The sequence below is a fragment of the Homo sapiens genome, chromosome 22, assembly GCF_000001405.40.
Source record: "Homo sapiens chromosome 22, GRCh38.p14 Primary Assembly".
NCBI classification, from domain to species: Eukaryota; Metazoa; Chordata; class Mammalia; order Primates; family Hominidae; genus Homo; species Homo sapiens.
In genome coordinates, this window is record NC_000022.11 from 24,575,217 (window position 1) to 24,597,573 (window position 22,357).

The 22,357-nt window shown below is 53.7% G+C and overlaps 2 protein-coding genes and 1 long non-coding RNA gene across 5 annotated transcripts in view, besides 6 other annotated features; 1 reads left to right on the forward strand and 2 right to left on the reverse strand.

Annotated features, from left to right (window-relative positions):
- Positions 1-1,462: 1,462 nt before the first annotated feature.
- On the reverse strand, positions 1,463-5,990 carry LOC124905091 (uncharacterized). The gene is made up of 2 exons (XR_007068024.1): positions 4,988-5,990; positions 1,463-1,844 (listed from the first exon to the last, which is right to left on the reverse strand). It is a non-coding gene; the product is annotated as an uncharacterized LOC124905091 (long non-coding RNA).
- Positions 8,534-22,357, forward strand: part of GGT1 (gamma-glutamyltransferase 1) — a 45,247-nt gene continuing 31,423 nt past the window's right edge. The window contains exon 1 of the mRNA NM_013430.3: positions 8,534-8,592. The gene's annotated coding sequence lies outside the window, so the exon portion shown is untranslated. The remainder of the gene's footprint in view (positions 8,593-22,357) is intronic.
- Positions 9,248-9,748: an enhancer, noted in NCBI's record as "H3K4me1 hESC enhancer chr22:24980432-24980932 (GRCh37/hg19 assembly coordinates)". NCBI's record gives its function as "activates a minimal SCP1, AML or CMV promoter by ChIP-STARR-seq in naive H9 embryonic stem cells {active_cell/tissue: H9 hESC(naive)}" and the evidence as "EXISTENCE:reporter gene assay evidence [ECO:0000049][PMID:30033119]".
- Positions 9,749-10,249: an enhancer, noted in NCBI's record as "H3K4me1 hESC enhancer chr22:24980933-24981433 (GRCh37/hg19 assembly coordinates)". NCBI's record gives its function as "activates a minimal SCP1, AML or CMV promoter by ChIP-STARR-seq in naive H9 embryonic stem cells {active_cell/tissue: H9 hESC(naive)}" and the evidence as "EXISTENCE:reporter gene assay evidence [ECO:0000049][PMID:30033119]".
- LRRC75B (leucine rich repeat containing 75B) lies at positions 10,419-17,857 on the reverse strand. Of its 3 annotated transcripts, none has more exons than NM_207644.3 (4): positions 17,647-17,857; positions 14,605-14,733; positions 12,998-13,113; positions 10,419-11,195 (listed from the first exon to the last, which is right to left on the reverse strand). In NM_207644.3, exons 1-4 carry the CDS (start codon positions 17,821-17,823, stop codon positions 10,670-10,672), a joined length of 948 nt encoding a protein of 315 aa, NP_997527.2. In that variant the 5' UTR covers positions 17,824-17,857; the 3' UTR covers positions 10,419-10,669. The 3 variants fall into 3 exon arrangements, with proteins under 3 accessions (NP_997527.2, XP_005261657.1, XP_047297316.1); XM_005261600.4 differs by lacking the exon at positions 10,419-11,195 and adding an exon at positions 13,940-14,177 and having other exon boundaries at positions 13,029-13,113; XM_047441360.1 differs by lacking the exons at positions 10,419-11,195; positions 12,998-13,113 and adding an exon at positions 13,541-14,177.
- Positions 16,284-17,277: an enhancer, noted in NCBI's record as "H3K27ac-H3K4me1 hESC enhancer chr22:24987467-24988460 (GRCh37/hg19 assembly coordinates)". NCBI's record gives its function as "activates a minimal SCP1, AML or CMV promoter by ChIP-STARR-seq in primed H9 embryonic stem cells {active_cell/tissue: H9 hESC(primed)}" and the evidence as "EXISTENCE:reporter gene assay evidence [ECO:0000049][PMID:30033119]".
- Positions 17,278-18,270: an enhancer, noted in NCBI's record as "H3K27ac-H3K4me1 hESC enhancer chr22:24988461-24989453 (GRCh37/hg19 assembly coordinates)". NCBI's record gives its function as "activates a minimal SCP1, AML or CMV promoter by ChIP-STARR-seq in primed H9 embryonic stem cells {active_cell/tissue: H9 hESC(primed)}" and the evidence as "EXISTENCE:reporter gene assay evidence [ECO:0000049][PMID:30033119]".
- Positions 17,755-17,984: a silencer, noted in NCBI's record as "silent region_13555". NCBI's record gives its function as "represses an Ori minimal core promoter by ATAC-STARR-seq in GM12878 lymphoblastoid cells {active_cell/tissue: GM12878}" and the evidence as "EXISTENCE:reporter gene assay evidence [ECO:0000049][PMID:35858748]".
- Positions 19,320-20,290: an enhancer, noted in NCBI's record as "H3K4me1 hESC enhancer chr22:24990503-24991473 (GRCh37/hg19 assembly coordinates)". NCBI's record gives its function as "activates a minimal SCP1, AML or CMV promoter by ChIP-STARR-seq in naive H9 embryonic stem cells {active_cell/tissue: H9 hESC(naive)}" and the evidence as "EXISTENCE:reporter gene assay evidence [ECO:0000049][PMID:30033119]".

The following is a 22,357-nucleotide window of genomic DNA, read 5'->3' on the forward strand; positions in this document are numbered from 1 at the left end:
CCTCTGTTGGATCTCTGTTTTCTGTGTAACCTCTTCTTTTATCACCTTATTTTGGGGGAGTATCTGCATGTCTAAAAATGTGCTCACACTTGATTTGATTGGGTATGAAATTCTATGTTGGAATTAGTGCCGGGCGCAGTGGCTCATTCCTGTAATCCCAGCACTTTGGGAGGCCGAGGTGGGTGGATCACACAGTCAGGAGATCGAGACCATCCTGGCTAACACGCTGAAACCCCGTCTCTACTAAAAATACAAAAAAATTAGCTGGGCGTGGTGGCGGGCACCTGTGGTCCCAGCTACTCGGGAGGCTGAGGCAGGAGAATGGCATGAACCCGGGAGGTGGAGCCTGCAGTGAGCCGAGATTGCACCACTGCACTCCAGCCTGGGTGACAGAGTGAGACTCCGTCTCAAAAAAAAAAAAAAAAAAAAAAAAAAGGAATTAGTATCCTTCAGAATTTTGAAGTTATGGCTACTTTGTCATCTAGCATTGCTGTAGAGAAGTCTGAAGTGATTTTGAGTCCAGATCTTTTTTTTTTTTTTTGAGACGGAGTCTCGCTCTGTCTCCCAGGCTGGAGTGCAGTGGTGCGATCTCGGCTTACTGCAAGCTCCGCCTCACAGGTTCATGCCATTCTCCTGCCTCAGCCTCCCGAGTAGCTGGGACCACAGGCGCCCGCCACCACGCCCAGCTAATTTTTTTGTATTTTTAGTAGAGACGGGGTTTCAGCGTGTTAGCCAGGATGGTCTCGATCTCCTGACTGTGTGATCCACCCACCTCGGCCTCCCAAAGTGCTGGGATTACAGGCGTGAGCCACCGCACCCGGCCAGAGTCCAGATCCTTTTTATATGACTTTTTTTTTTTTCCCTTCTGTTATCAGTGTTCCAAAATTTCAGAATGACGTATTAATACCTGCCTTGGCGAAGGTCTGTTTCCATGCCAGGCCCCTTTCCGAGTGAACTCTTGTCCTTAATTTCTGGGAAACTTTCTTGAATTCATTCTCAGTGATTTTCTTCCTTAGGTTGTCTGTGGTTTTTCTTTTTCTTTTTTTTTTTAAAGACTGAGTTTCACGCTTGTTGCCCAGGCTGGAGTGAAATGGTGCCATCTCGGCTCACTGCAACCTTTGCCTCCGGTGTTCAAGCAATTCTCCTGCCTCAGCCTCCCAAGTAACTGGGATTACAGGCACCTGCCCCAACACCCGGCTAATTTTTTGTATTTTTAGTAGAGGCAGATTTTCACCATGTTGGTCAGGCTGGTCTCAAACTCGTGACCTCGGGTGATCCACCTGCCTTGGCCTCCCAAAGTGCTGGGATTACAGGCGTGAGCCACCAGGCCCGGCTGTCTGTGGTTTTTCTTTCTGGAATTTCTGTTACTCAGATGGTGGACCCAGAATTACCTCTCCTCCCTGTGTGCCCCAACCCCAATTTTCTTTTCTTTTGATCATAATTTATGGAGGATTACTCCAAGTTGATTCTCTGATTGTTCCTTTATATACGTAGATATATAGGGACAGTACCTTGTTCCTTGTTGCAACATCTTTGAGGATATTAATATGCTCTGTAGAAGCTTTCATCTCCCTGCATATGTCTTTCTGCTTTCTGTTCTTCAATTTAATCTTTCATGTTACAGACTTTCTTTAGCTGCCTGGCAATCGTTGGTAATCTTGCTTATATTTAAGAGTGGAGTATTAAAAAGAATATGTGATTGTAAGGTGATCTCATTGAGCTTCTTTGGGGAAATCCCCAGTGTCCATACTTCTAGAACTTTGCTCCAGGCTGGACAGGTTCTCTTGGAGAAACTTTTGGTTTCACATCAGGAGGGTTTACTCTGAGCTGCTGGATTGAGAGCTCTGTTGGGGAAGAGGGTGAGAATTTCAGCATTCTAGTATGTCCACATTCAGTTCCTTCATCCAGGTCTCTGGGAGGGCTCCTAGTCCAGAAACCTTCTAACCCCCTCTGGAGAATAAGCTTCCAACTTTTTTGCCAAGATTGGGGAAGTCAGGTCATGTGGAAATATGAATGTTTCAGCATGCTTTTGCTTTTTTTCTTTGAAAATATATTACTTTAAAATGAAGAATAAGACTGGGGGTGGTGGCTTATGCCTGTAATCCCAGCACTTTGGGAGGCTGAGGTGGGCAGATCACCTGAAGTCAGGCATTCAAGACCAGCCTGGCCAACATGACAAAACCGTGTCTCTACTAAAAATACAAAAATTAGCTGGGTGTGGTGGCACATGCCTGTAATCTCAGTTACTGGGGAGGCTGAGGCAGGAGAATCGCTTGAACCCAGGAGGTGGAGGTTGCATTGAGCTGAGATCGCACCACTGCACACCAGCCTGGGCAACAGAGCGGGACTCTGTCTCAAAAAGAAAAAAAAAAGAATAACTCAGATTTAAAGAAGATATAGACTAAAGGATGATGTCATAAAGGTAATTAGACCAGTATTTAACATGAATTCTGAGCAGGACACGGTGGCTCACGCCTGTAATCCCAGCACTTTGGGAGGCCGAGGCAGGTGGATCACGAGGTCAGGAGTTCGAGACCAGCCTGGCCAAGATGGTGAAACCCCATCTCTACTAAAAATACAAAAATTAGCCAGGTGTTGGGGCGGGTGCCTGTAATCCCAGCTACTCAGGAGGCTGAGGCAGAGAATTGCTTTAACCCAGGAGGCGGAGCTTACAGTGAGCCGAGATTGTGCCACTGCACTCCAGCCTGGGTGACAGAGCAAGACTCCATCTCAAAAAGAAAAAGAAAAACCAAAAACATGAATTCTGGTTCTGAGTGCCACCGTGACCACCTCTCCCAGCCTCTGGTTGGTTATCTGTACAAGGGTGGATGTGGACTCACTTGATTCACTGATACTATCCCAGCTTCTACACTGGTAGAACCATAACCTTAAAAAACAATCAAAGCATACAGGAGTTTTTCTGCCACTAGCCAAGATGAAAGTAATTGATTTATCATTGTGTCTGAAAAAACACACACAAAATAATATGAAACAATGGTTTTCAAGACATCAGACATTGAAGGAGACTAATCCCTGAGAAACGAGAAATAAATAAGGGGAGTTGTACAATTGCCCCAGCTCACTGCTTACAAGAGTCTCCAAGCTGTGGCACAGGGAAGGGGACTGAAGCTGACCTACCAGCCTGCCTGCATTGAGAAACGAGAGCTAAGAGTTCAGAGAAGCCACCAAGGCAGCTAGGACTATAGGACAGAATGTCAAGAGAAGAAAGCCACACAGAGAACCCAAGAGATCTGCAGCGGGTTGCTTTTGAACATTCAGCAGAATACTGATGAGCACACCGATGTGAGGAAGTTAACAGGCTGGGGAAGACCCATAAAGAATTGGAACAGTGCTTGGCGTCATGCTAGGCTGAGACTAAACATTTTCCTATCAGTCAGACAAGAAATTCACAGGATATGGAGTACAGTGTTGTTTTAAGATGTACCATATCTGATTTTGTTTTAATCAGGTATGGTAAGACCCAGAGACAGCTGCCTTGAAAGAATGTATTACAGTTCTCAAAGAAGGGGGCAAACCACGTTACGTGGGCCATATGGGGAGACACCAGCCTGAGTCAGGAGGCAGAAGGAGCAATGGCAGAGCAAGACCCAGAGCCTTCATTGTAGTTTTCTCATGAAGGAATGAGTGAGGCAGAGTAGGCAAGTTTGAGCAAGTTTAGGATTGGATAGTCTGAATAATTTTCAACTGGGTTATAAGTGGTCTCTGTAAAGTACCTTGCCCTGAGGTGATTGAGGGTAAAGGAAATACTGGCTTAGTGTATGAGAGTTAGATAAAGGAGGCAGTTTTGGGTGTGGACTTTGGATTGTTTGGTTTGTACATGAAAGACACGCTGCCAGCAAGTTGTTTACTATCTCTAGGAATTAGCTAACCCTGGGAGGAGCATCCTTCAGGATTAGCAAGGCCCAAGATACCAAAGCATCATAAAACAGAAAACAAAAGGCATGATTAATACAAATATCCAGGAAGGCCTTGCCTGGTAAATGAGGAATAATTAGCCCAAGACTGAGCGCTGGACCTGAATAACAAGTCATAAAAACAACACATTAAAACATGAAACTGTTTTTCCGGACCAATTAAATATATCCAAGAATAAGACTCAAAAAGATTTATAGGAATATAAAAATGTCCAGTACCCCACACAGTAAAATTCACTGTCTGGCTCCAGTCAGAGATTGCTAGGCATGCAAAGATGCAGGAAAGCACAGCACATAATGAGATTAAGAGATCCAAAACTACACAGATGTTAGAATTAGCAAAGAAGGACATTAAAAGTTATAACTGTGTATTTCAAAAGCTGAGCAGATTTTAAAAGAAGACTCCCTGATTTCAAGAATTACTATAGAGCTGTACTCATCAAAACAGCATGGTATTTCATCAAGTTAAGCAAATAGATCAAAGGAACAGAGTCTGAAAACAAATCCACACATGTATACAAAATGAGTTTTTTCAAAGCCACAAAGGTAATGCACTGGAGAAAGGATAGCATTTTCAACAAATGGTGCCAGAACAATTGGATATCTGTATGGAAAAATCCCTCAAAACTTGGGTCTATACCTCATGCCATACAAAAAAATTAATTCCAAATGGATCATCCACTTAAAACTATAAAACTTCTAGAAGAAATGTAACCCTAAACCTTGGGTTAAGCAAAAATTCAGATATAATACCAAAAGTACTATCCATGAAAGACCAAACTAATATATTAGACCACCAAAATAAAAAACTGCTTTCCAATGACACTGTTAAAAGACTAACCACGAAATTTTGGCAAAGCTAAGTCTAATAAAAAATGTGTATCCAGAATATATAAAGAATTTGTGGCCAGGCACCGTGGCTCACGCCTGTAATCCCAGCACTTTGGGAGGCCGAGGCCAGATCACCTGAGGTCAGGAGCTCGAGACCAGCAACATGGAGAAACCCCGTTTCTAGTAAAAATACAAAATTAGCCCAGTGTGGTGGCACATACCTGTAACCCCAGCTACTCAGGAAGGCTGAGGCAGGAGAATCGCTTGAACCCAGGAGGCGGAGGTTGCGGTGAGCCGAGATCGTGCCATTGCACTCCAGCCTGGGCAACAAGAGCAAAACTCTGTCTCAAAAAATAAAGAATTTGCAAAGCTCAATAATAAGACATGGGGAAAAAATTTGAACAGACTTGAGAAGATACAGATGGCAAACATGCACATTAAAACATGTTCAACATCATTAGTCATTAGGGAAATGCCCAAGTTAAAGCCAGAGAGATATTGCTACACACCCAGAAGAATGGCTAATGTTTAAAAAACTCACCATGCTATGTGCTGTTGAATATGTAAAGCAACAAGAACTCCCAAACACTGCTGATGGGGATGTAAAACTGCACCACCACTTTGGAAAACAGTTTGACAGTTTCTTAAGACATTAAAAATACATCTACCTTATGATCCCCACATTCCATTCCTAGGTATTTACCCAAGAGAAAAGGAAATATATGTCCATGCAAAAACTTATACATGAATTTTCATAGCAGCTTTATTTGTAATAGCCAAAAACTGGAAACAACTCAAACATCCATCAACAGATGAATGGATAAATTGTGGCACACCGTCCAGTGCAATACTCGGCAATAAAAAGGAACTACTGGTACACGTGAGTGAGTCTCTAAATAATTGTGCTAAGTGAAAAGCCATATAGAAGAGAGTACATCCGGCTGGGTGTGGTGGCTCATGCCTGTAATCCCAGCACTTTGGGAGGCTGAGGCAGGCAGATCACTTGAGATCAGGAGTTCAAGACCAACCTGGCCAACATGGTGAAACCCCATCTCTACTAAAAATACAAAAATTAGCTGGGCATGGTGGCATGCTCCTGTAGTCCCAGATACCTGGGAGGCTGAGGCAGGATAACTGCTTGAATCTGGGAGGGGGAGGTTGCAGTGAGCTGAGACTGCACTCCAGTATGGGTGACAAAGTGAGACTTCACCTAAAAAAAAAAAAAAAAAAGTATATCCTATATGATTCCATATATCCCCAAATCTCACAAATGCAAACTGTAAAAAACAAAGCAAATCAATGGTTGCTTTTGGATGTCAGTGGGCATGGAGAGGCGGGAGGGAGGGATTACCAAGAGGCATGACAAAACTTTCGGGGTGACAGGTACATTTACTATCTTGATTGTGATAGTGGCTTCATAGATGTATACATGTGCAAAATGTATCATATTGCACATTTTAATCTTGTGTAGTGCTCGGAATGTCTACTTTTTGTGTTTCAATTATACCTCAATGAAGGGTTATTTTAAAAAATAAAATATTTTTAAAAAACAAGCCGAGCGCAATGGCTCATGCCTGTAATCCCAGCACTTTGGGAAGCCAAGGCGGGCAGATCACAAGGTCAGGAGTTCAAGACCGGCCTGGCTAATATGGTGAAACCCTGTCTCTACTAAAAATACAAAAATTAGCCAGGCATGATAGCAGTCTCCTGTAGTCCCAGCTACTCGGGATCCTGAGGCAGGAGAATGCCTTGAACCTGGTGGGGCAGAGGTTGCAGTGAGCCAAGATCATGCCACTGCACTCCAGCCTGGGTGACAGAGTGAGACTCTGTCTCAAAAAAAAAAAAAAAAAAAAAAAAAGTTGTGCATAGTTGGAAAAGAAAATACTAGATTTCATGGGTGATTGGCAACTAGCTCTAAGTGGAACAAGTGCATTTTCCTTTCCTTCCAGGTCCCAGAGAAAAACCTCCATGCTGGGTTGATAGCAGCAGCTAGGATCAGTTGCCCAAGACTCTGGATTCTCGAGATGAAGACCGTCAGCAGAGGCTGATCTCTCCTGTGGGCTCATGTCCTAAAGCACCTTATTTGGGCTCAAATATCCTCCCTTTTAGGACAGAAAAGAAGTTCCCGAGTCTTGGTCATGTTGGGCCTGTGGAGCACATCATCTTTTCTACGTGTTTCCTTTTGATGTTCTCAGCATCCCTGCAAGATGTTCTCAGCATCCCTGCAAGGCAGGCTAAGGCATGAGGAGCTATAGGCCCAGGGAGCTGAAGGCAGATTCTAAGAGCTGGGTGTGGATGCTGCACCCCTGAGCCTGGGCCGCCTGGGTTTTGCTCAGTCTGGGAAGTACTTCCAAACCCACTCTTTGCTAGTCTTTTACAATCCTGCGGGAGGGCAAAGCCCAGATCATCATGGCTGCTTCCACCATGTAGCTGCAGATCAGGAAACTGAGGTCCAGGGAGGTCCTTACTGGCTTTGCTCCAGGGACAACGAGGCTTGAGGTCTGTTCCCCACAGGAGGACCATGATGGTTCTCCTGCTTCAAATGGCCCCTTTGGAAGGGGCTTGCTCATTTAGGTGAATCCTGGGGCCGAGCAGCCCCAGTGATAGTCCCTGGGATGGCTGTAGGAGAGGGAGCAGCATGCAGGCGTTAACGTCACAGACTGGCACCAGGCCACCCGGGCTTACACTCTGGCTCCTCCAGTTCCTGGCTCTTTGAACTTGGACAAGTAATCCCCTTTCTTTATTTTTTGTTTTTTTGAGACAGTCTCGCTCCGTCACCCAGGCTGGAGTGCAATGGCACAATCTCGGCTCACTGCAACCTCTGCCCACCAGGTTCAAGCAATTCTCCTGCCTCAGCCTCCCAAGTAGCTGGGATTACAGGCACCCACCACCACGCCTGACTAATTTTTTTTTTTTTTTTTTAGTAGAGATGGGGTTTTGCCATGTTGGCCAGCCTGGTCTTGAACTTCTGACCTCCACCCGCCTCGGCCTCCCAAAGTGCTGGGACTACAGGCATGAGCCACGCCGCCTGGCCAACAAGTCCCCTTAACCTCTTTCTGCCTCAGTCGACTCACCTGGAAAACAGAGCACCTACCTCCTTCAAATGAGAAGAGAAGTAAAGGAGTATAAGGCCATCAGAACAGTACCTGGCCCAAGGGAGGCTATGGAAGTGCTTGTTGAATAAAAAAATGGCTTCATCTCTGGCCTAGCCCCAAAGGTTTGAGTTCCTGCCATTGCCACCCAGACAGCCCTGGGTGGAGGCCCTGCTGACATTGAAGAGTGCCTGCCCTCCTCCCCTCAATGCGGTAGACACTTTCCAAAACTTACGTCATCCTCACTCTCACTCCAGTGGGATAATGGGAGGCTTGGTGTACCTCATTCCCAAGATGAGGGAACAGGCTCTGAGAGGACCACATCGCCAGCAAGTGACAGGCTGGGACCAAGGCCAGGCCTGTCTGCCTCCTAGACTAGGCCTGAGTGAGGACCGGCCTGAGTACGGCCCACCTGCTTCCTCCTCCGTTTAGAGCTTGGGCTGGAGCTGTCCTGGCCAGTGCTCTCTGCCTCACCAGGCTGCATGAGCCACAAGCTGCCACTTGTGGAGCTCGGTGGCCCTGCCCTCGACAGCCTTGCTGGTGGTCGTGAAGGCTCTAAACACCTGCATGGCAATGAGGCCAACCTTCTCCGCTTGATCCGTTTCAGGCTCTGGCTCCGCTACTGCATCGTGTGCTTCTGTCCAAGAGGCAGAGAGACTGAAACTATCTGCTGCCGCCTGGATTCTCCCAGAGATTGCCTGGAACACCAGCTCGGGTCCTCGCACACCATCCTGGTAGGAATCTCTCAGTGACAATTGAGAGTTTGTGGGCTGGCTTAGGGCCAGTGGTGGGCAGGGAGTCAGCAGGGCGCAAGGGACTGGAGAGCTTGGCATTTCTCCAACAGGAGTTTCAGGGAGAGCTCAGAGGCCTGCTTATGTGACAGGTTTATCAGCTTGCCTGGCCCAGGGCCGGCTCTCATACCGTTTTGATTTAAATAATAGATTGCTCACAGAATAAATGTATGTTGGTTTAAGCTTTCACTTTCTCATAATCCTCTCTGCTGGCCCCTCCCACCATCTACCCCATTTTGCCTCACTCTGGGGAGCCTGAACACCCTGTTCCAGAGTAGGGGCATAGGGAAACACTTCTATGGCTTCTGAGCTGCTGGGCAGGGCCAGTCCCTAAAACAAGGAGAGCTGGGAGGGAGCTGGACCCCAGGATGGAGTGCTGAGAGCTGAAAGTCCTATTTAACAGAGGGGAGGGAGCAGAGATCCCAAAAAGGGAAAGGCCTGGCCAGGTCCCACAGCAAGTCAGGAGCAGAGCGGGCCTGAACTGTGAGATCTCCAATCTCTCCAAAGCCTTTGGGTAAGAAGTCCGCCTAAAGCAGTGAGATCAGTGGGGTCTGAGGAAAATCCTTTTCCTCACTGCCTCCATCCCAGTCCTGGGACCCAACACCATCCTGTCCTCACCCTCCTTGGCCATCTCCTTTTGCCCTGAGAAGCTGTTATGCATCCAGCCAGACTGGGAATGTGCTGGAATCCATGCACCACAGGGGATGGATGCGCCGCTTACAGTCCCTGTGGGCCATGGCTGTGAGGGAAAGTCAGAGCTGGTGGCTGGGGTGTGTAGGCCCAGGAGGACCCCTGCCTCCTCCTTAGCCTTGGAGCCCCCCTCTGCTGCTGAGTCTTTCCTCATCTAGCAGGGCCCCACTGCCCCCAGACCTTACCTCCTGGCTTAGCACATGACTTCCCCACTCTGGGCCTCAGTATCCCCCCGGACATCTCTAAATTCCTTTCCCGCCTGCCCTGCCTGTCTTCTGGTTGGGCTGAACTGTAACTCCCCACACAGGGCTGAGGGTGACTGTGGCATTAGGCTTCTGGCTGGGAGCCCACCCTGATGGTGCTTGGGGAGGAAGGGAGACACTTCCCCCTGCCAAGGGCAGCCCTAGGACTACTCTGCCCCCAAGGCCCCCTGCTGCTGGTGATGCGCACCTCCACCCGCTGCATGCTCTCCCACACGGGGACTCCCACACGGGGACCCCCAGGGCCTGGAGGGAACACACAAGCACTTTGTCTCTGGCTTGCTGTCTCCTAACCCCACAGAGCTGCCCCTCGCCAAGTACAAGAGGCCTGGGGCTGGGTCCTGAGGGTGGCAAGCAGCACTGTACCCTGTGGGAGGCAGGCACCAAGTCCTCTCACTTAGTCGGCTGTGGCCCCTGCCTCTGGTCTGTGCAGCCTTGTCCCCTGCCCAGAGGGCTGTGGTGGTGAGGCTGGCAGCCTGGGCTCAGACGTGAGCTTGCTGTGGGGCTCCATGTAGAGCTTTGCTCCTCCTGGGGCTCCCGACCCGCTCCTTCGCAGCTCCCCTTCTCAAGGAGCCCAAGCCCTGCCCAGATGTGAGGGCCCGCTCCCTGGAGGCCTCCTCTAACTCTCCAGCCCACAGGGATGGACCCAGGACCCCCACATCTTAGACTCCATGGGGGACTTGCCCAAAGAGCACCTGGGGGAAGGTCAGTGTGACCTTTGTCCCACCCTTTTGGATAGACACAGCCACCCTTTCTCCCCACCCCAGCAGCAGGGCTGTTGCTCAGTGACCCTGAGGTTGGTGATGCAGAAAAGCAGAGGCGGGTGTCACTCTTTATTGCGGGGTCCACACTGTGGGTGCTGGGGCCCCTCCCACTGAGGGAAGGCTGAGCCTCTAGCCAGGGCTGGCCACCTGGCCACCTATGAGTCCATTCTTCTGTCCCCTTAATCTCAGGCTGAGCATTTACACTGGATTTCTGGGGGCCTGTGAGTCCTCCTTGACCTTCATCGCCCACTATCATGTGCTTGAGAGCATCACAAGTCAGTAGCAATGAGCCAGGTGGGTGGTGGGTCACCTGGCACAGCAGGCCTGGGGCTCGGGTCCCAGCCCAGCAGCTGTGGAGTCCCAGGTGGAGGCAGGGGTGGTGGCCCCGGCCGCACTGCCCTCAGGCTCAAGGTCCAGGCCCTCGTAGATGGTGGGGAGTGAGGTGCGCTGGCTCAGCCGCCGGCGCAGGCCGACCAGCAGGGGCTGGGGCAGGGAAGCCACATCCACGTTGTTGCCCAGGTCCACCCAAGCCAAAGCAGGGAACTTGGTGGTGTCCTTGATGGCATCAGTGAGCTTGCGGGCAGTGGCCCGCGTCAGTCGGTTGCCGTTGAGCAGGAGCTGGGTGAGGCGGGGCAGCGCCCACAGGCTGGGCAGCAGGAGGTGCAGCAGCTCATCACTCAGCCCCGTGAAGCTCAGGTCCAGCACCGCCAGCACAGCACCATGGCTGCTCAGGTAGCGTGTGATGTGTTGCACGTCCTGTGTCGACAGCGGGATGCCTGAGAGGTCCACAGTCTCCCCTGCCAGCAGAGTCTTCTGGAGGCTGCTCTTGAGGCTATGGGAGAGTGGCAGGTGGGGATGGACTAGGCAACCAGGCAGTCCCCCCACTGACCACAGACAGTGACCTGTCGGGAACAGCCCAGGCCTACAGTCTGGCAAAGCCAGATTCAAACTGTGTCTTTCGTATTTTTTGAGACAAAGTTTCGCTCTTTTTGTCCAGGCTGGAGTGCAGTGGCACAATCTCGGCTTACGGCAACCTCTGCCTCCCGGATTCAAGCGATTCTCCTGCTTCAGCCTCCCAAGTAGCTGGGATTAAAGGCATGTGCCACCACGCCTGGCTAATTTTGTATTTTTAGTAGAGGCGGGGTTTCTCCATCTTTGTCAGGCTGGTCTCGAACTCCTGACCTCAGGTGATCTGACCGCCTCAGCCTCCCAAAGTGCTGGGATTACAGGCGTGAGCCACTGCGCCCGGGCCCAAACTGTCACTTTCTAAGTGGGTGGCCATGGGCAATGCTCAGAGGCTCAGTTTCCCCTTTGGTGAAAATGGGACGTGGTTGTTGTGAGGATTAAATGCACACACAGTAAGGCTCTTTCTTCATGAACTATTATTTGAAATCTCACTGTGTGCCCAGCATCCCACACCTGTTTTATTGACATCTCACTTATTTTTCAGATAGGTGAAGTAACTCTTCCATGGCCACACACCACTAAGCGGGGAACCAGGTCCTCAAACTGAGATGCTCTGACTCTTGAGCCCACATGTTTTTTTCCCTGTGCCCCTTCTGATGTCGATTCTTTTAGGGTAGGGAGAAATTCTCCTACAAAGGGACGGCTATTAGGCTGTACAGGGCACCGGGGATAGAGAGGGACAGGCCCACAGTAGTGAAAGGGGAGGTCCTGGGTGTGCAGGCTGGGGGCCGGCCATGAGGGAGGGCTCCCCGTGTTTTCTCAGTTAGAAGGGAAGTTCAGAGACTGAGAAGGACCCCCGCCCCCACCAACCCTCTAGGTCTCTCCCCAGTTATCTGAACAGAGCCCACTAGGCAGACAGGCCTTTTGGGGGACTGACAGCAGTGAGCACACCCTCAGGACCCCCACCAGCCATGGCAGGGAACAACCTTGTGGGGTCCAAGCTCAGCGTGGCCTATTAGGCCCAAGGTGGGACAGGGGTGGAGGGCAGACAGGGGAGGCCTGCTAGGGTAAGCTCCCGGCAGCAGTTCAGGCCTCTGGGCCTGGGTGCCTGTGGCCAGCTCTGGACTGAGCCTGTGTGTGAGGCTCCATGGATGGAGTCACTCCAGGATGGAGTGTCTGAGAGGGACCCATGGCAGAGGGAGCTATTGGGCAGCCACGGAAGCCTCAGTTTTAGGCAGCCTGGCAGTGGCAAAGAATTCCCAACAAGGTACAGGAAAATCAGGGTAGAGTGTGGCCTTAGGCAAGCCACTTCTCCGAACCTGTTTCCTTCCCTCTAAAATGAGAATCGCGATCCAGAATCTGCCTCCCCCGCAACCTGTTGGGAAGTCTCAGCTGAAGATGCCTACTGAGGTCACCTTGGCTGTTGGGTGGAGGGGTGGGGTGTCCAGGCCGTGTAACAGACCAGGGATTGAGGGATGTATGAATGGCAGGAGGCAGGACCGTCCTGTGGGAAATGCCAAACGGGTCACTCAGAGGGTGCAGCTTGGCTTGGGGAGCATCTGCTACCACGGGCCAGGCTGACTTCCAGGGTAGGGCCCTCATGCGGACCAGGTGAGGGCCTCACCAGGTGGGATTTCAGCACCAGCCTCTTGGTGAGAGTGCAGGTGTCAACCTGAGAAGGGACCTTGGAGCAGCAGTGAGGAGGGGCAGTGGCTGGGCTACCCTTACCAGCTCTGGGTCTTCCTCTGGCGCAGGCTGGACCCTTGCTGCTGCTTCGAGTGAGGGGTGAGGTGGTAGATGAGCTGTCGGCAGATCTTGTCCGAGGACTTCCAGAGCTCATAGTCCTGTGGGAGGGCAGTGTCACCATGGTGAATCTGAGCCCCTCCTGCCCACCTCAGGGCCTTGGGGAGAGGGACCCAGGCAGCCAAGTGTGTGTGTGAGCACAGTCATGCACCATGCATCACCGAGTTGCCCACCAGGGCCTCCCCCTCCTACCCCCCAACCCGGCTGTGGCCTGGCACAGAGCCAGGGGAGGCTGCCCTCTGGGAGCTGGACAGGCTGGTCCAGTCCCGCAGTGCCCGGCGGGAGGAAGCCCAGACAATGAGCCCTTGTTCCCTGTCCTCGGGCCCAGGGCCAGCGTCTCGGGCTATCAGCCGGCTGCCTGCCCACCCTCAGCACCCTTCGGGGACTTGCCACAGGGGGAGGAGGCCAGACCAGGCCCCTCGAGGGAGCCGTGCTCCACTGACGCCAATCCCAGGGAGTAGGAACAAGCCAGGTCAGCGTGTTCTTCTTCCTCTCACTCTCCAAGCGAGACTGCGCCTGCGGGGTCTGGGTCTGGGCTGACAGGGCTGGGGGATGTAATGTTTTACAGCACCACCACCTGGCTCTCTCTCAGTCCTAACTGGGCTCCGGCAGAGGCCCAGCTCAGGGTGGAATCCGAGGTGCGCGGCCCACAAAGCTGGCACTGAGCATGCTCCACTGCATCCTTTATCCAGTCCCTCTGTGAGCAGCCCCAGGAGCAGGCAGCACACACAGCAGCTGCAAGCCCTGGCTGTTCCTGTGATGGCCGTGGGCTAGGCGCAGAGTCCTAGGGGCCGACTGTGCAGAGACCTGGGCATTCAGAGCTGGCAGGGCCCAGAGCGGATACCCTGGTTTTGGTTGGGGACTCACTGTGACTAGGAGTCTGGGTCCGGTGGCTGGTCACAGCCACACATCCTGGGGCTGTGTCGATGCTCATGGCAGGACATCTGCAGGTGCTGTCAGCATGGGGTTCTGGGCAGCTGTGGGGTGGAGGCTGCAGGTGGCAAACTCCACCCCAGCAAGGAGGAGGGCCTTGCTTATGACCCCAGCTGTTGTAGGGGAAAGCAGTGAGCACCCGTCCGCAAGGGTGTCTGTACAGGATGGAGACCTGCGGACAGACGGGGGCTCTAGCCGAGAGCGGCTCTCTTCTGGCCCAGGAATTCAGAGGCTAGGAGTTTGTTTCCGTTGGTGGATTTCTCAGAACAGTCTGTGACCCGCAGGGTCCCCATATGACTTCTGCCCAGCTATAGTCTTCCTGGTCTGGGCCCCCAGGCCTGGTGCACAGTGCTGCCACACAGAAAATGGGTCTGCCCAGGACTCTGAGGGTCCTGCAAAGCACAGCTCACACTTGCTCTAGCTGGTGGCCAGCCTAATATACTGATGCTGGCAGCAGGTCTCAGACAGGGACAGTGACTTGCCTAAGGCCACACAGCAAGCCGCAGAAGGACCTAGCCTCCCAGTCCCCAGCCCTGGGCTCTGTTGGCCCCCCTGTCCACCACAGTGCCCAGCCCAGGGCCCGTGCCTGCCAGCCTCACCTTCTTGGGGCACTGCAGGTCCCGGGCCAGGTTCACAAGCAGGTCATGGGAGATGGGGTCGACCGGGTTGAGGAAGGCCACATCTCTGTAGAGGATATCAGGAAGGAGGGTCCTCTCAAGGCCCAGGTCCTGTGAGTGGTGAAGAGAGAGTTGAGTGAGCCCGTTGGGTCTCCCATCTCGAGGCACCACCCCAGCCAGCCAGATGCTGCTTATGCCCGTTCCTGTCTCTCCATCTCCTCCCTAAGGCTGGCTGGATTCTCCCCACAGGCGGCCATGGGCCAACAGTCCAGTGGCGGGTGGCCCCCTTCTTTTTTTGCTTATTTATTTTTTGAGACAGGGTCTCACCCTGTCACCCAGGCTGGAGTGCAGTGGCGTGATCTCAGTTCAGTGTAACATCTGCCTCCTCAAGGAATCCTCCCACTTCAGCCTCCTGAGGAGCTGGGGCTATAGACAGGCACCACTATGCTCAGCTAATTAAAAAAAAAATGTTTTGTAGAAATGGGGTCTCACTATGTTGCCCAGACTGGTCTCAAACTCCTGGGCTCAAGCGATCCTCCCAAAGTGCTGGGATTACAGGTGTGAGCCACTCAGCCTTGGAGGACCCTTTGGATAAGTAGAGGGGAGGGACATGGGAGCCCTCAGGGAAGTGGTAAGTGAATCCCAGAACCCTTAGACCAGTTCCCTTGAGGTAGTGTTGTGCTGTGACACTGCCTTCTCTGGGGTTAGGACTTGTCAGTGGGATTCTTTGGGGTCTTTCGTCTTATGGTGGGGGGGTTTGCTCTTCTTATGACCCCTCAAATTCCCCTGTCCCCCAGTGTTCCCTTCAGATCCTCTGCCTTCCCACCTATCCCTTGGTTTTCCTAAGCTGCGGCCAGCATCTGTTTGCGGACAGGTATGGATCCTTCCCTTGGGGGCGGACCTCTCTCTCAGATGTCTCAAAGGCATGCCACCCTGAAGCCAGCCTCACCACCCATGCCCCAGCTCAGTATAGGGCACCTCCATGACCATCTTCCCAGGCACTGGGGCCAGAAGCTCTGGAACCCCCCAGCACTCTTCCGTCCTCCTCTCTCCCCCAGCTCACCTAGTCATCCCTTCTCTCTCCCCACCACTCCTGCCAAGATTCAGGCCTCCAGCCTCCTCTCCTACCCATCCCTCACCCCACCGCCTGCATAGACCTGCCCTGGCCTTCCTGCCTCACTCCTCCACTTTCTCCTCCTGTCTACTCCCACAGGACTGGTGTGGGGCTGAATACTCTTTCAGAGGGTCTCTTTGTTTTGAGACGGAGTTTTGCTCTTGTTGCCCGGGCTGGGGCGCAGTGGTGCGAGGTCAGCTCACCGCAACCTCCGCCTCCCGGGTTCAAGCAATTCTCCTGCCTCAGCCTCCTGAGTAGCTGGGATTGCAGGCATGTGCCACCACGCCCAGCTAATTTTGTATTTTTAGCAGGGAAGGGGTTTCTCCATGTTGGTCAGGCTGGTCTCGAATTCCCGACTTCAGGTGATCTGCCTGCCTCAGCCTCCCAAAGTGCTGGGATTATAGGCGTGAGCCACTGCATCTGGCCCAGAGGGTCTCTTTAGAGGACATTTTGAGAGCTGATGGGGCAGCCACAGCCAGGAGGGGCCTCTAGACCCCATGTGGGCCTTCTCCAATCCATAGGTGATATGCTCTGTGCGTGGGTCCCAAGCACAGGAAGTTGGGCCAGGCAGGGGAGGCCGTGGGTCACAGCTGCAGGGTCCCTGCAGGTTATGGAGCAGGATAGGCCCCGGCTGGACCTCAAATCCCAACCTCTGAGACACAAAGAGGTGGTCTCTGAGGATCCTTCTTTCCCTCTAGTTTCCCAGCTAAAATGCCCAACTGGTGTCTTGGACTCCAGGCAGCATCCCAGACTGAGATCTGTGCCTCTGGTTGTCTGGCTGATTCAGTGCTGCTCTGCTGTTTGCCACAGATGCCAGCTAGGGAAGATCCAGGAGGAAGGCTGGCTGATGAGCCTGGCAGACCCAGACAGGGCCCCAGACCGCAACCTGCCAGCCTGCCTTCCATGGGTCTAGACAGCTCCTCTTAAACGGACAGCTCCATTTTTCCAGCCTGCTGAATCCAGAGTTGGAGGAGGTGGAGAAGGGAAGGGAGGAAGAAGGGCTCTGGCCCTGGCTTGCCCCACATTTTCTCTGTGGGCCCTGGGGTGACCACTTCGCTCCATGCCTCAGTTTCCCCATTTCTAATCTACCTTCTGCAGGCCGAACACCTGCATGGCTGACTTCCTGCTCACAGGATGGGGCAGGTAGTGGTGGTAGCTGCTGTAGGGGGTGGGGACGGGGTGGTGAGGGAAGTGGCATGCCCAGGTGATTGGGGGGACCAGCATCCTGGGACAACCCAGGGGTTGGGATCTGGGTTTAGTGTACCTGGTGTGTGTAGGAGCAGAGCCACCACCGGACCGAGTGTTGTGATGCACAGATGCTGGGGATGTGTACTCTAAGGGCATGAGCCGCCTGTTGGAGAACTGGTGATGCATGGATGGCTCTCTGTGGGCTGCCATGGTGTCTTGGGGTGAGGCTGCATCCCTAGACCAGCCCTGGGTCCTCTCTCCAGGGTCCACTGTCTCCCGGATCCTGGAGGAGGGGGAAGTTACCCTCTTCCATTGTCTCTCAATACAAGATGATTTGACCTCACTTGCCACTCCTCCCGGGCCCCTCCCATCTTGCCAGGGCCTGAATTTGGGCTCTTAGGTCCAGGCTACCGGGCCACCCTCAACACACACAACCCCTCTCAAACCCCAAAGACCCGGACACACTCAGCAGCCCCCTCCTCCACACGGTCCGCCGACCTCACCCAGCCCTCACTCCAGGCGGTCGCCCTCTCGCCCACGCAAGACCCCGCGTGCTGCAGCCTGTCGCGCCCTCGGAACCCGCCTGCGCGCGCCAGAGACCAGCTCCGCCTCGCCTCCCGGCGGATACAGGCCCACAACCCATAGCCCCGCGCCTCCCAGACCCCCAGACCCCCAGACCCTCCCTGGCCGCCAGCCCAGGGGCGGACGGCTCCTTCTCTCGCCTGGCGCAGGAGGCGCAGCAGCTGCCGGGCGCGCTCCGGCCGCCGCTCGCGGAGCGTGGACTGGATCTCGCGGAGCCACCGCACCCGGCGCTCGTAGGGCGCGGGCCCGCAGCCGGCCGCCGCCCCGGCCTCAGAGCCAGCCTCGGGCCCGGCCCGCCGGCCCAGCCGCGCCCCCATGGCCGCCGCGCGATGGTCGCCGAACCCACAGGAGGCCGGGCTGTCTGCGCCCCGCTCCCGGGGCCGCCCCTAGTCGCCCCGCCTCCAATCACCGCGGCCCTGCCCCGTCCGGGTCCGAAGGCTGAGCGCCCGCCCCACCCCGCGCCGGAGCGAGGCCAGTGGGTTCCTCGGTTTGGCCTGATCACACTGGAGGAGGCCCTGCTTGCGTCAGTCTTGGCGCTAGAACCCGAGGGCCTGGAGCCGCCAGGGGAGACGCGGAGCTCGGCCGAGACGAGGTGGCTTTTGGCACCTCTTTACCCTCTGGCCCCAGTGCTGACTGGGGAATAGTCGCTTTGACCGTGCAAAGAGCATTCTAGGCGGGGTGGGGGGGTTCTGCTGTGTGTGCCAGTGTTAGGTATTGCCCCCATTGCTTTTAGAAATATGCCCTGCATGGTGAATCTCCGTCTCTACTAAAATACAAAAATTAGGCCGGGCATGGTGGCTCACGCCTGTAATCCCAGCACTTTGGGGGGCCGAGGCAGGCGGAATCTAAGGTCAGGAGTTCAAGACTAGCCTGGCTAACATGGTGAAACCACATTTTTATTGAAAATACAAAAAATTAGCCGGGCGTGGTGGCGGGCGCCTGTAATCCCAGCTATTCGGGAGGTTGAGGTAGGAGAATCAATTGAACCTGGGAGGCGGAGGTTACAGTGAGCCGAGATGGCGCCACCGCACTCTACCCTGGGTGACAGAGCAAAACTCTGTCTCAAAAAAAAAAAAAAGAAAAGAAAAGAAATCTCTGCAGCTGGCAGTTGTGGTGTAGGACCTGCTCACGCTACATGGACACTCCTGCACTGGCAAATATTTACTGCCTCCTGCTTCTTGGTTTGGGGCAGGCCCCCACCTCTGACCCCAGCCTGGGAAATAAACCGGACGAAGAGTCAGGTTAACCGTTAAGCCCAGCTCTGGGCAAGCTGGCAGCAGGCGGGCTGTATCTGCCGCTGGCTTCAGTCTGCCTCCCTGACAAGGGGTGGGGGTGGCGGCAGGCAGAGTGAGATGGGGGCCCTGGCTCCTCTGAGGACCAGGGTGAGGTACGGACCCACCCAGCTCAAGGTGTATCCCACTTCCCAGGGCTCCCTCAGCAGAAGCCTAGGTCTCTGCTGCAGGCCTGCTGGGCCCCTGCAGCCCCAATCCCGGCTCTGGGACGCTCACATCTCCTGCGTGGGGAACGTTTGAGGCACTGATCTGCAGTTCCCACTTCTCTAAGCAAGGAGCACGTGTTTAGCCTGTGAGGACTGGTACCTGTTGTGCAGGAAGGGCTGAGCACTGTCCGAGGGCATATATGAGGGACGACAGCCAAGCACCCGTGTGTATGTGTGTGTGTGTGTGTGTGTGTGTGTGTGTGTGTCTGCTAATTACCCTATGAAGATTCAAGGTTCCTTCCTTTGGGTTAAGCACTGCCTGCCCAGAGATGGCAGTGGGGAGAGGGCAGGGTGCTAGGCTCTGTCATCCTGTGGGGCTGGGCCCCTGAGACAAGGCAGAGGACAGCAGGATGTCTTAGCCCCTTGACCATCCACGGACCCCCAACCCCTGCTGGAGCAGTGCTTGCACCCCCTTCTCCCCTGGCACCTGCCAGCTGGACCCAACAGCCTCTCCTCCCACTCCAGTGCAGCCAGCATTGTCCTGGGGCCACCTTGGCACCACAGGTTTCCTCCCTGGCAAACCTGCATGACGGCCTTGCGTGCCCTCCCCCAGGGCCAAGGCGCTGTTGCTGAACTGAAGTGGCAACCTACCCGGTCAGAGCTTTAAGCTGCAGCTCTGATGCCCCAGGGACCTCTCAGACCCCCCTGCCCAGAGCAGGCAGCCCGGTAAGCCCTCCTCCTCTTCCCCTGCAGCCTCAGGGCTGGAGCCACAGCTGGGAGGGCTCCCAGATCCTGACCATATCCTCCCAGAGGCTGAGCCAGGCCTGGGCACTGTCCCCTCAAATGTGAGAATACTGGGCAGGGGGAGGGGAGAAAGGAGGGAATGGAGGGCTGAGCCTGGAGGCATGAAAGGGGCAACCTAGGCAGCGGTATGGGGGAGTGCTCAGAGCTTAGAGTCCTGTGGAAGGCAGAGAACTGCCCCAGCCCCTGCCTCTCATCCCCCACCCTCTGTGTCCCTGGCCGAGAGGTTCCTGGAGGACATTTTTCCAGCAAAAGAGGGAGGGTGGTGTCTGGGCCTAGATCCTTGGATGGGCTTTTCTCTGCCTGCTTGTGGGGTGCCTAGGGCGAGTGGGCTTTTGGAGACAATTTCTGGCCTAACCTGACTTGGACAGCAGCCCCCAGAGGCACAGCTCTCCCCTCAGGCATGGGGGCATGATTCCACCTCGCTAGCCCACATGTGTTCTTCACGGAGGGCTGCTGGCCCGTCTCCCTGGGGTTACCCTGAGCAGCAGAGCTGTGTTTGTTGAGACTCCATGGGGTGGAGGGATTGCGATGTTGTCCTCTCAGTTCCCGGGGCTGATGTGGAAGCTCAAGGGCTTGCCCTGGATTCTTCAGGGTAGCCCTGCCATCCCTAGTGAGTCAGTGAGTTGGGAGGTTGGGGGCTGGAGAATCAGGTAGGGAGGACACAGCTAGACCTCAGGCCCTGATGGGAACGTACTAGGCTCCAAGTGGGACCTGCCAGGAGACAAGAATTGATGACAGCCACACCTTTGGAGTCTCAAGCCCTCTGCCACCCATGCGGTGGCCTAGTTCAAATGACAGGAACACAAGGTCCAGCTGGCCCAATGGGCAGGTAGAGGGCTGCAGCCAGGGCTGGAACTGGCCTTGCACTGCCTCTGGGCCCTTCTCTACCCACCCAGTAGTATTGTTCAAGCCCAGGAGGGAAAAAGGCCAGCTCAGGGTTAATGTTACCTCAGCAAGTAGCTGAGTGGCACTGAGCCTCCTGGTAGCCACTGTAAAGAAGGACACAGAATGGTTTGGGGGCATTCGCTAGGAGGAAGGAAGCAGATGGATACTCTATGGAGACAGAATGTCCTCTGTGTTTGCTCTACAGGAACGGGTTGTCAACCTTCTGCAGGGCCAGGAATTGTCATGAGGCTGTAGTAGGCAGCAGAGCTTGGCGGGGTGAGGCGAGATCACAGGTATAGGCTCAGGGCCTGGATTCAAATCCCCTGGGCTGCCACTTGTTGGATGTGTAACCATAGGCAGAGTAAGGACCTGCCATAGCAAATTACCACAAACTCAGTGGCTTAAAGCAACAGAATAGTTCTGGAGGCTAAAAGTCTGAAATCCAAGTATAGGCCAAGCCACACTCCCTTTGAGGACTCCAGGGGAAGATCCTTCCTTGTCTCTTCAGCTTCTGGTGGCTCCTGGCAATCCTTGGCCTTCCTTGGCTGCTGCTGCATCACTCCAGTCTCTGAAACCATCTACCCTATGTGTCTGTGTGGCCTTCACATGGCATTCCTTATTTTTGCAGTGGGGTCTCACTATGTTGCCCAGGCTGGTCTTGAACTCCTGGGTCCAAGCAGTCCTCCTGCTTCAGCCTCCCAAGTAGCTGGGATTATGAGTGAGTGCCACCATGCCCGGCTCACATGGCCTCCTTGTAATAACGCTAGTGCCTGGGTGCGGTGGCTCACGCCTGTAATCCCAGCACTTTTGGAGGCTGCGGTGGACGGACCATGAGGTCAGGAAATTGAGGCCATCCTGTCCAACATGGTGAAACCCTGTCTCTACTAAAATACAAAAAAAAAAAAAAAAAAAAATTAGCCTGGTGTGGTGACACATGCCTGTAGTCCCAGCTACTTGGGAGGCTGAGACAGGGGAATCGCTTGAACCCGGGACGCAGAAGTTGCAGTGAGCTGAGATTGCGTGGTGACTTCACTCCAGCCTGGTGACAGAGCGAGACTCTGTCTCAAAAAAAAAAAAAAAAAAAAAAGAACTGAAGCTACTGGATTTAGGGCTCATTCATTCTTTTTTTAATTTTAATTTTTTTTTTTTTTTGAGACAGTCTCACTCTGTTAGCCCAGGCTGGAGTGCAATGGCATGATCTTGGCTCACTGCAACCTCCACCTCCCAGGTTCAAGCGATTCTCCTGCCTCAGCCTTCCAAGTAGCTGGGATTACAGGTGCCCGCCACCACGCCCAGCTAATTTTTGTATTTTTAGTAGAGACAGCGTTTCACCATATTGGTCAGGCTGGTCTTGAACTCCTGACCTCAGGTGATCCACCCCTGTCAGCCTCCCAGTGTTGGGATTACAGGCGTGAGCCACTGTGCCCAACAGGGCTCATTCATTCTAATCCCGTATGATCTCATCTTAACTAATTACTTATGTAGAGACTCTATTTCCAAATAAGGTCGTGTGAGGAAAAACCAACTCAAACTGTGTTTTTTGGCCTGGCGTGGTGGCTCACACCTATAATTCCAGCACTTTGGGGAGGCTAAGGTGGGCGGATCACTTGAGGCTAGGAGTTTGAGACCAGCCTGGCCAACATAGCAAAACCCCATCTTCACTAAAAAATACAAAACAAAAATTAGCTGGGTATGGTGGCATGTGCCAGTAGTCCCAGCTACTC

Coding starts and splice junctions, on each gene's coding strand:
- LRRC75B (NM_207644.3), bottom strand. CDS start 17,823: ATGGGGGCGCGGCTGGGCCGGCGGGCCGGGCCCGAGGCTGGCTCTGAG. Junction 14,734..17,646: donor TGCTGCGCCTCCTGCGCCAG/GCGAGAGAAGGA, acceptor CACCACTCACAG/GACCTGGGCCTTGAGAGGAC. Junction 11,196..12,997: donor CAGAGGAAGACCCAGAGCTG/GTAAGGGTAGCC, acceptor ACTCTCCCATAG/CCTCAAGAGCAGCCTCCAGA.